The sequence below is a fragment of the Homo sapiens genome, chromosome 12 (assembly GCF_000001405.40).
Source record: "Homo sapiens chromosome 12, GRCh38.p14 Primary Assembly".
Lineage (NCBI taxonomy): Eukaryota > Metazoa > Chordata > Mammalia > Primates > Hominidae > Homo > Homo sapiens.
Window position 1 is genome coordinate 64707078 of NC_000012.12, and position 12166 is coordinate 64719243.

At 43.9% G+C, this 12166-nt stretch overlaps 1 protein-coding gene across 1 annotated transcript in view; it reads right to left on the reverse strand.

Annotated features, from left to right (window-relative positions):
* The window catches only part of GNS (glucosamine (N-acetyl)-6-sulfatase), a 45958-nt gene continuing 40163 nt past the window's right edge, over positions 6372–12166 (reverse strand). Inside the window, exon 14 of the mRNA NM_002076.4 lies at positions 6372–9742. Within this exon, the coding sequence (NP_002067.1) occupies positions 9664–9742 (79 nt within the window). The 3' untranslated portion in view covers positions 6372–9663. The remainder of the gene's footprint in view (positions 9743–12166) is intronic.

Below are 12166 nucleotides of genomic sequence, written 5' to 3' on the forward strand. Positions count from 1 at the left end.
CAGCTTTTGGAAGTTACAGAGACCCACTAGAGAGAAGACTTTGGACTCATGACTGGAGCCTTCCAGCCAAGAGTCCATTAAAATATTTTCCAACATGTGCTGAGAACATTTTAGCAACCATTCCAACAAAGAAGCTTCCATTTGGTTTTAGTAACAATAGCTAGGAACCAGTGCTTATTTCTATTATTTCAGTATGTAATGTACATATTTTCCCCCACTTTGGAGACAATCTGAGCCTCTACCGCTGGACAGCTCTGCTCTACCCTGTAGTAAAAAGGGCTCACTGCTCGATGCACCGGAAGCTGATACCACGACACTGGGTTTTTTGTTGTTTTTGAGAAAAGCTTTATATTATATATAAGTCGACTCACAAGGAGATAGGAGTGTCAAGCTCAAATATTTCTCCCTGTGCTGTCTTTAAGGCAGGCAGTAATTTTATTAGAAAAGATTAGACAGGCATGCTGGAGCATGCCTGTAGCATGCCTGTAGTCCCAGCTGCTTGGGAGGCTGAGGCAAGAGGATCATTTGAGCACAGGTGCCATTGCACTCCAGCCTAGGTGACAGACTGAAACCCTGTCTCCAAAAAAAAGAAAAAAAAAGATTTAGGCCAGGCACCATGGCTCATGCCTGTAATCCCAGCACTTTGGGAGACTGAGGTGGGAGGATCACTTGAGGCCAGGAGTTCAAGAACAGCATGGGAAACATAGTGAGATCCCATTCCATTTCTACAAAGAATTAGCTGGGTGTGGTGCCATGTGCCTGTGTCCCAGCTACTCGGGAGGCTAAGGCAGGAGGATTGCTTGAGGCTGGGTGGTTGAGGCTGCGGTGAGCCATGATCACAACACTGTACTCCAGTCTAGGCAACATAGCAAGCCCATGTCTCAAACTGCCCCTGCAAAACCCCCAAAACATAGAGCCCCATCTCTACAAAAAAATAAAGGAGTTTGGGGGTGGATACTGGGATTAGCAGGTGCTTGGTGGAAGGAAAAGGGAAGTCTGGAAAGTCCTTGGGTGCATGTAGTTATTTCTTTATGCAAACTCATGGGTCAAAGGTGCAAATTTGGGGAGTTCATGTGAAATATGCAGTGGAAATTCAGGCTGTGACGTCAGCAGACTCGTTCTATGCAAAATCTAGTTAGCTAGTTTTCTTTTAAAATCTGCTATCCTGTAAATTCAAGAATTTTTGTTACTGTTTTTTAATCCTTTGAGGGCACAATTTTAATTTTAGCTTTTTATTTTTATTTATTTATTTTTTTGAGATGGAGTTTCACTCTTGTTGCCCAGGCTGGAGTGCAGTGGTGCGATCTTGGCTCACTACAACCTCCACCTCCTGGGTTCAAGTGATTCTCTTGCCTCAGCCTCCTGAGTAGCTGGGATTACAGGTACCTGCCACCACGCCCAGCTAATTTTTGTATTTTTAGTAGAGACGGGGGTTTCACCATGTTGCCCAGGCTGGTCTCGAACTCCTGACCTCAGGTGATCCACCTGCCTTGGCCTCCCAAAGTGCTGGTATTACAGGCATGAGCCACCATGCCCAGCCAGTTTTAGTTTTTTAGCAAGTTCTTTTCTTATCTGCTATCCTGTAAGTCCAAGAATTTAGTCATTTTTCTTTAACTTTTTGGGGCACGGTTTCACTACAGGTACCTACAGTTGGGTGCAGTGGGTGCAAAAGTAATCGCGGTTTTTTGTCATTGGCAAAACTTTTGCACCCGCCTAATAGATTTGGCAAAAGGCTGGCCCAGTTTCTCTCAGTAAACCAGCTTCGGTCATTATATTAGTTATATATTGCTGCATATCAAGTTACCCCCAAACCAGCAGCTTACAACAGCATTAAACATTTTTTAGGCTGGGCGCAGTGGCTCACGCCTGTAATCCCAGGACTTTGGGAGGCCGAGGAGGGCAGATCACCTGATGTCAGGAGTTCAAGACCAGCCTCGACATGGAGAAACCCCGTATCTACTAAAAATACAAAATTAGCCAGGCGTGGTGGTGCATGCCTGTAATCCCAGCTACTCAGGAGGCTGAGGCAGGAGGATTGCTTGAACCTGGGAGGCAGAGGTTGTCCTGAGCCGAGATCGTGCCATTGCACTCCGGCCTGGCCAACAAGAGCGAAACTCCATCTCAAAAAAAAACAACAAAAAACAAAAACCATTTTTTAGATCATGTTGTTATATTCTGTGGGTCAGGAGTCTAGTAGCAGCTTAGCTTGATGGTCCTTGCTTGGTCTCTCACGAGGCTGCAGTTAAGATGATGGCTAGGGCTGCAGTCATCTGAAGTCTTGACTGGGGCTTGGAGGATCTGCTTCCAAGGTGGCTCTCTCACATGCCTGGCAAGTTGGGGCTGGTTGTTTTCAAGAAGCCTCAGATCCTCACCATGTGGACCTTACCAAAGATCTACTTTGGTGTCATTGATATGGCAATAGTTTTCTCCGAGAGTTATCCAAGAGAGAGCAAGGCAGAAGTGGCCATGTCTTTTAGGACCTAGTTGTGGAAGTCACACAGCATCACAGGTGCCCTATTCTACTGGTCACATGGACCAACCCTGATGCATTGTGGGAGGAAACTGCACAAGGATAATTAGGCGCCATCTTGGAGGCTGGCTACCACAGCCATGCTGGAAACAGTTAAATGAGGCATACAGAGAGGAGCCCTCTTTTTACTTGTTTTCTGACAGCAAGGCTATAGTGCAGGACAAGAAGACACTTGAATGGCAGTGGCACCTTCTCCTCTTAGTCTGAAACCATAGTTTCCCTGTAAGTACAGGTATGAGAGACGAGTTCTCTTTTCAGTCTACATAGTAATGTCCTGGAGGAATAGAATAATTCCCTTTTGTAACTAAGCTCACCACCAGGCAGAGTAGGCACTCACATATATAATGAGGTGGGGACACAGCCTCACAGATCATGGTGACAGCAGAGTTAATGGAAAGATGGCTTTAAAACCACATCTTTGAAATTCTGACTCTTCTTTGACGAATTAGCTTTGTGAGTTTCGATAAATTAAGCTGAGGGAAATAAATCTATCTTATGGAGCTGTTTTATCCTCCTAAAATGATAATTACAAGCATCTTTATATCTCTCTATCCTTTGAGAACCTATCATCATCAGTTAGAGGTGCAGGTTATGATGACATATATGGATATCAGTCTCACCAGCAGGTGATCATGAAATCTTCCTCTCAAAGACTAAGATTTAGAATTGTTAAGGCTGGGCGCGGTGGCTCACGCCTGTAATCCCAGCACTTTGGGAGGCCGAGGCAGGCAGATCACGAGGTCAAGAGTCGGAGACCATCCTGGCCAACATGGTGAAACCCCGTCTCTACTAAAAATACAAAAATTAGCCTGGTGTGGTGGCAGGCGCCTGTAATCTCAGCTATTCGGGAGGCTGAGGCAGGAGAATCGCTTGAACCCGGGAGGCGGAGGTTGCAGTGAGCCGAGATTGCGCCATTGCAATCCAGCCTGGGCGACAGAGCAAGACTCCATCTCAAAAAAAAAAAAAAAAAAAAAAAAAAGATTTAGAACTGTCATCTACTCTACCATACTCCAGGAGCTAGCTCCCATGTCCCACATCTAAATCTTGTCTTATTCAGTGATTCTAGGCCATCAATAGAGATCTCAGCACGATGCTTTTAGCTTGTATCCTTTGGGTTCTCTGGTTGTCAGCTCTTGCCTCAACAGACTTTCGTGTATACATATTACCAGCCCTTTATATCCACTGGTGGTGGCTGGGTGCAGTGGTTCATGCCCATTATCCCAGCACTTTGGGAGGCCAAGGCAGATGGCTCTCTTGAGCCCAGGCGTTCAAGACCAGCCTGGGCAACATGGCAAAACCCCGTCTCTATTAGAAATACAAAAATTAGCTGGGCATGGTGGTGTGTGCCTTTAGTCTCAGCTACTTGGGAGGCTGAGATGGGAGGATCAGTTGAGCCTGGGAGACAGAGGTTGTGGTGTGCCAACATAGGGCCACTGCATCGAGCCTGGGCAACAGAGCGAGACCCTGTCTCAAAAAATAAAAATAAATCCACTGGTGGTAGAGGAAGATGAAACAAACACTACTTCTGTAGGGAATTTGGTTCTACAGGGCAGGCACCAGTTTCAGTGGGAATAGCTGGGATAAGTTAAAAAAAAAAAGGATCTAATGGAGTCTGTATTTATCTTCATTCCGAGTCTATGCAAGTGAAGATTCTCTTCCTCCTTGTTGATGGCTTGACTGTGATGTAATCAAATTTCCAATGTTTAGGATGGTAATTTAGTGACTTTACGGGTGCTCTGTACCATCTTGCGTTTCTATTAGTATTTGGTCAGTGATCACAGGGGCTCTTCTTTCTCTGCCACCTTTCTCTAGTATTTAGACAAAGGCCAGACCAGGTAGCTCTCAACACTAAATCTGACCCGATGCTTAATCTTGTTATCCTTTCCCTTTTCATCACTTTAAGTTCTTGATGTCTTGTCTTGAAATATGGAAGGCCAGCACCCACTTCTCTTTCCCATGTTTCTTTTGGCCTTAGGTCCCAGGTAAAAAAAAAAAATCTCACTTAAGCATTTAGGTCTACAATTGCTATTCTTGGCCTGATCTAGCATTCTAGCCCTTCTGGAGGGGGAAGAAACATCCAGCCAGGTGATCCCCTGCTACTGAACAGTTGACAGCTGTTGGGAGAGGCAATCCACTATGAACCCCAAGCATCCTTGCACCTCCTTGCTGGATATGCCAAGAACACAAGGTCCTGACCGTTTTTTTGAGATAGAGTTCCACTCTTGTAACCCAGGCTGAAGTGCAGTGGTGCAATCTTGGCTCACTGCAACCTCCGCCTCCCGGGTTCAAGAAATTCTCCTGTCTCAGCCTCTCAGGTAGCTGGGATTATAGGTGCCTATCACTGCGCCCGGCTAATTTTTGTATTTTTAGTAGAGACGAGATTTCACCATGTTGGCCAGGCTGACCACTTTTTATGCTGGCCATTCCTCAGGGTTGTCTGTAGTGAGCAGTTTGAGGGATAAGTTAATGTCTCCTTCTGGAACAAAGAGCAGCCTCGCTCAGTGCTTGCTATAAAACAAACAAACAGCAGGCTCAGCTGGGTGTGGTGGCTCACACCTGTAATCCCAGCACTTTAGGAGGCCGAGGCAGGTGGATCACCTGAGGTCAGGAGTTTGAGATCAGCCTGGCCAACATGGCAAAACCCCGTCTTTACTAAAATACAAAAATTAGCCAGGTGTGGTGGTGTGTGCCTGTAATCCCAGCTACTCAGGAGGCTGAAGCACAAGAATTGCTTGAACTCAGGAGGCGGAGGTTGCAGTGAGCCAAGACTGCGCCACTGCACTCCAGCCTGGATGAAGCCTCCCCAAGCCTAATGTTCTTTTCCTGTAACAAAACCCACTGCATGTGCAGGCATCCCTCTGGGCCCTTTGCATCATACCTGTAGGACTTGGGTGTTAAGTGTGAACTGACAGGCTCTTACTGCTTGCTGTGCTGTACTACAGTCCTTTGTCTTTATCCCAGGAGTCTCATGAAATAACAGACCTACTTAATTAGCTTGCAAGAAGGGTACAAATCCCAGACCCTAATAAATGACCTTAAAATTGTGATATATCCAAATCCCCTATTATTTTTCAGTTTTACAATTTAAATATTTTTTATAGTGACAGAATGTCGCTATGTTGCCCAGGCTGGTCTTCCAACTCCAGAGCTCGAGTGATCCTCCTGCTGGGGTCTCAAAATGCCGAGATTAAAGGCGTGAACCATTGCCCCTGGCCCAAATCACCTGTTTTTCTGATAGTAATCTGGCAATTTTATGAGTGTCTAGCATTGTTTTCTATGTGGTCTTCAGAATTGCTAAGATATGAGGCAACCTATAAGCTCTGGGGTTGGCAAATTATGACCTACTTGTTTTTGAAAATAAAATTGTATTGGAACACAGCCACACACTTATCCATTTTCTATGGCTACTTTTGTGTTATAACAGCAGAGGTAAATAGCTGTGACAGTGAACACATGGCCTGGCAGCCTAAAATACTGGCCGTCTATCCCTATAAGAAGTTTGTTGACCCCGTAAGAAGTCATTCCTCATCTAGAGCAATGGATCACATGGCAAAGCACCTTTGAAGGCGAGCCTAGTCTGTTTGAAAGCCAGCCAAGATAAGACTTTTTCTCCAAAGCTGTAAATACATACAGATTTATCAGGAAATATTTTCTACATGGTGCTTCATTCAGGGGTTATCAGTAGGGGCCATGTATGTAAGAGCTATACAGGTAGAGACTATAGGATCTGACTAGAAAGCCCATTTCCAGTACTAGGTGAGTGATTAAAACAAACTGCATCAGAAGAAAGCATCTTGTCAAAATTACTACTTGTGAACTAAAACAAAGGACACATTCCCACTAGAACAGAAATAAATTTTAATTCATTGAAAAGTGCAGCAGTGAACAGGGTCCTTTTGAAGGGCACTTTCTAAGTCAAATGACTGAGATGACACAGAGCAAGGGCAGAATAGGAACAGAGGATGCAAACACAGGAAGTTACAAAATTCAGTGGGAACTAAGTGGTGGTAAAACTCAAGAACCCAACTCTACCCATCTAATTCCATTGGTGGATCAGTTGAATTAACTTTTGCTTTCTTTAGGATGAATCCTGGGACAACTTTCCTTTAAAAAAGCACTAAACCTTAGTTTAGACACTTAATAAGTTTAAGAACACTTCTCACAGAATAAGGTAAAACTTCCATGGCTATCATTACTATTTTGTACAACAGCCCTAGTGTTGTCAATTAAAATGTGTTTGCAGGCCGGGCACGGTGGCTCACACCCGTAATCCCAGCACTTTGGGAGGCCGAGAAAGGTGGATCACCTGAGGTCAGGAGTTAATCAGCCTGGCCAACATGGTGAAACCCCGTCTCTACTAAAATTACAAAAATCAGCCAGGTGGGGTGGCAGGCGCCTGTAATCTCAGCTACTTGGGAGGCTGAGGCAGGAGAACTGCTGGAACCCAGGAGGTGGAAGTTGCAGTGAGCCGAGATCACGCCACTGCACTCCAGCCCGGGTGACAACCGCGAGACTTCATCTCAAAAAAAAAGTGTTTGCAACAGCACCATTTGTCAAATTCAAAGATGCTCAAAAGGTGTTCCCTACTTTGCATGAGAGGGAGAGCTTTGTAACAGGAAATTGTATAAGGCAAACTCTCTATTCATTCCTAAGGCCTCTGTTCATTCCTAATGTTTACATGGTTCTCTACTCTGAAGGGCACCAACATGGACCTCACCTTCTTAACATGGAAAATCAAAATCTAAATGAATACAATTAAAAGGAGGCAGCAAGCTTCTTGCAGTGGGTCCCTTAAACATTATGAAAACATCAGTGCATTGTGTAGTCTGTTACGCTATAAACTGAGGTCTCTTTATGAAAGATTATTTTAGCACAAATTCAGAATGAAGCCAGTCCAAGAAAAAAAGAATTGGAAGCTATTTGAAGGTTAGATAGGAAATATACCAAAAATAGAAGAGCGTAGAGAGGGCTGCACCACATCCTACCACGCAAGCACACCCACTGAACTGAGTAAGAGTGGCGTGGCTGAGGTGCCGTCAGCAGCTGACTATGTCACTCTTATGAGTTCTGCTCAGGAACAAGCATAAAACTGAATAATATGACATCACAGTCCAAGACCTGGTAAGAGTTGGTTTCTTTTTATTTGGAAATAACTATGGTCAACTTTCATTAATGTGGAAGTTGACTGATAATGTTAAGAGTCAAAGTGAAAAAGAAAGCCGATACCCATATTCAACAGTGCTTTCAGTTACAACATTTTTTGAATTTCCTTCTCTAAAACATTCACAGCAGAGGTGTCCATTTCACTTGCCTGTTTCACCTCTAGATACCACCACAGTTGCTGGGGTCATGTGAGGTAAAGGAATATATCCAATTGACTGTTAGCCCAACATGACTATCTGCAATTCTGATAGAAAAGCTACTTTCAGCCATGTCTTACAAAGTGCTTAAAGCTGGACAGAAGACTTTAAATAAAGCTAAAATCGCTTATTGCCTGAGTTGAACAAGTTACAAACCACAGCTCTTCCTCCTCCCCTGCTGTCTCACCACCAATTAGCCTTCTTGTGAGGACAACATTAGAAATGGAACTGGTTTTTGAGCCAAGAAACATAAAAATTTAGGTGTTCTTAGCCAAGCGTGGTGGCTCATGCCTGTAATCCCAGCACTCTGGGAGGCCGAGGTGGGTGGATCACAAGGTCAGGAGTTCAAGACCAGCCTGGCCAACATGGTGAAACTCTGTCTCTACTAAAAATACAAAAAATTAGCTGGGCGTGGTGGTGCGTGCCTATAATCCCAGCTACTCAGGAGGCGGAGGCAGGAGAATCGCTTGAACCCAGGAGGCGAAGGTTGCAGTGAGCTGAGATCATGCCATTGCACTCCAGCCTGGGTGACATAGTGAGACTCTGTCCCCACTTCTCAAAAATAAAAACATTTAGGTGTTCTCAACAGTGAAGAAACCTGAATAGATTTGATTTTGACAGGGGAATACTGATAATCATACAAGACTCCAAAACTCAGGAAGAACCCATCTAAAAGGGGAGAAGGTAGGGTAAAGTAGTTGATACTTTGCATCAACTGTAAGAAAATTTTCCACCTTAAAACAAATGAAGAGAATGACAGAAAAATGCAGATAGAGCCAATGACTTCATACATGGAACTTAAATTCAAGCTCCCTGCTGGACAGGCACTTCTTTCCTTTATCCCTGGTACAGCCCTTCCACTTGTCTGTTCAAGAGCCCTGTCTTCAGAAGGCCCTCGGAAGAGACAACCTTCACCAACTCTTGGCAGTTCTTCACTGCTGATGTTCCTAAGCCACTTCATTTTTCAGATCTCAGAGGGGAGTCTCAAGAGAAGGGACCTTGCCTTAATCCTTCCAGTGTTAACTGGCACTCCCTGTGGTTGGCAGCCACTGGAAAGTAGATGGCTATCACCTTCAAGAGCTACCTGGAATTGGCCTTTATCACAAGCTTACTGCTCTATTTCAGTGCAGCACCAGCCTAGAATTCACAAAAACATGAACAGAGCTTGGGTGACATGTTTTGAATTTGCAACCTTACCACACTGTGATGAACATCATAAAAAATGTATCTCTACTTATCAATCAACAATGGTACTTGTTCTTACTTGGATGATTCAGCTCTGATGGTTACTCTTCAAGCCATGTGATGTTAGTATTTTTGATAGTGAAGTGCTCAATCTGAAATGCTACACAGGTCCTTTGACTTTAGGTCAAGCTTACATATCAAAAGGTGTGTCTGTGTGTTTGTGTGTGTCCTAAAGTACTGCCATTTATCTGAATGGGTTTACAAATTCAGTCTTTAACCACAAGAGGAATAATCAAGAACTGTGGCCCCAGGATAAAAAGAATACAGTGAGAACAAAGACCTCAGGAGTGTCCTTGTCAGCTAAAGGAAGAGACCAGAGACAGCCACTCCTGACACATGGGCAGAGTTCACAGTTTAACACATTGCACGAGGAAGTCAGCTGACTGGGTTGCTTTTTCAAACAGGACTTAAAGCCAGCCCAGAAACTCTTCCAGGTGTGGTCTTGAAGACTAGCTACAGACACCTACTACAATCACTTCATCAGAAAGAGGCGTGCAGGGATCCATCTGCAGAGGCTGTGTGAGGTCGCTACAGAAGATGTTTGGAAAATCTTCGAGTCCTGACACTGCCGCGATTGCTGAACATGAGACGGGGGTCAAACCTGTATCTGGGGAGGAAAAACCAAATGTAACATTAGCTCTCACTAGCTTCTCACTCAGAATATTATTCAGTGGAAAGGATAGCAGGAAGGGGTGTAAAAGAAACAAATCACCAGAAGGGACTCTAGTGAGAAAGTCTATGGTACAAAACATGAGCCCTCGACAGTTCCGAACATTTCTATCACCAGTCAGCACACACAAAGTCACACAGTGCAAGTCAAGAGGAGAAAAACAAGTAGGTTAGTCTTGAAAGGTGTCAGAAGGCAGCAAGATTTGAGATTTTTTTCTTTTGAGGGAGTAGGGGTGGATCAACTGTTACATTATTACAGTGCTTGTGTTCAAGTCACCCTGATTTTATTTAACAATGGCTCCAAACCACAAGAGTAGTGGTGCTGCCAATTCAGAAATGCCAAAGAGAAGCCATAAAGTGCTTCCTTTAAGTGAAAAAGTGAACGCTCTTGACTTAATAAGGAAAGAAAAAAATCATACAGCAAGACTGCTAAGACCTACAAGAGCCTCACCATAAACATGAGTCATTTTTGGTGGGGGCGCTGGCAGGGGGACAGAGTCAGTCTGTCGCCCAGGCTGGAGTGCAGTGGCACAATTTCAGCTCACTGCAACCTCCACCTCTCCGGCTCAAGTGATTCTCCTGTCTTAAGCCTCCAGAGTAGCTGGGAACACTGGCGTGCGCCACCACACCTGGCTAATTTTTTTTTTTTTTTTTTTTTTTTGTAGAGACAAGAGTTTCACCATGTTGCCCAGGCTGGTCTAGAACTCCTGGGCTCATGTGATCTGCCCGCCTTGGTCTCCCGAAGTGCTGGGATTACAAATGTGAGCCACCGCGCCCAGCCAGGAATGAATCTTCTATCTGTGAAATCATGAAGAAGGAAAAACGAATTCTAGTTTTGCTGCCACACCTTAAACTGCAAAAGTTAGGGCCACAGTGCATGACAAAAGCTTAGTTAAGATGGAAAAGGCATAAAATTTGTGGGTAGAAGACATGAACAGAAACATCTTCCAACTGATGGCAACTGGGCCTGGCACTATCCTTGGGGCTTCACGCATCCACTGTGGGTTCTGGAATAGATCCTCTGTGGATAAGGGGGGACTACTGCATTTTAGAACTGCAATTGACCAAGATTTTTTGTAAAGGGCCAGATAATAAATATTTTAGGGTATGGGAGCCATACAGTCTCTGTCCCAACCATTCTCCTTTGCTGCTGAAGCACACAAGCAGCCAAAACCAGGTAAACGAATGTGTGAGGCTGTGTTCCCGCAGGTGGGGCTAGATTGGGCTCACAGGATCTGGTCTGATGACCCCATTTTGGAGGACTCAACAGGCCCAAATGTTTGATAGGAAAGGAATAATCAGGGCTAAGGAATTTAAAACAGAAAATCAGGTTAAGTTTAAGTAGTTCAGGCTAACAGGCCCAAATGTTTGATAGGAAAGGAATAATCAGGGCTAAGGAATTTAAAACAGAAAATCAGGTTAAGTTTAAGTAGTTCATGCTAACATCAGCAAAGCCAGCATCTAGCACTTTAGTTATAAGCTTCTAAAATGTGAGGAAGACAATTTGTTGCAGTTAAAAACCAAACAAAACTTGCTTAGGAAATAACGTATTCACTTCCTTATAGGGTGACCCTTGGGCAAATCACAACTGCAAGCTCAGTTTCCTCATTTGAAATTTACCTGTTTGGGCTCTAAGGGCTGTGTGGAAATTCTATGAATTCTAACACTTAGAGCCAGATGTTCAGAAGAAACAGACAGCTGGCTCCATCTACCTTGCATTGGCCAACCAGATGCCAGCCTGGCAGGTCCATGTCCTAGCAGTGGCATGGTCAGGGACTGTTTGGCCACACATCATAATCCAAGAGGTCCAGTCCCTTGACCCTCCATTTAAGATTTAATCAGATGCTGGCTTTAAGTTCCCAGAGTCAGCCAGGGAGTACATGGTTAAAAAACATTAACTGCTATCGACATCTAACTTAATTTGGTTTAAAAGAACATTCTGAGCTAAGTAACTGTTGGAAATTGCAAAGTCAGCACATGTAAACTGGAAGTCTTGTGCTTTTATTTTAGGGACTGGACTTCCTATTTCAGGTAACTGGTACCAAGCTAGGATCTATTTCACTAACTTGGAGGAAAGACCAAAGGAAAGACCAATGGTCAAAATTCTTGACCATTCTTATTGTACTAATGGGATTATCCATATAAAAACAGTTATTTCATTTAAGTGATATAAAATAATAAATATTATCTTTTTATATTGTTACCTGGCTTTAGTTTACTGGTGTCCATGCCACTTTGGCACTATATACATTATTTAAAAGCAAACAATGAACAGTCTATCATCGAGTTTTTCTACTCATTCACATTCATTTGTCTCTAATTTGGACTAAAGATAAAATTTAATACAAAGACGGCTAAAAAA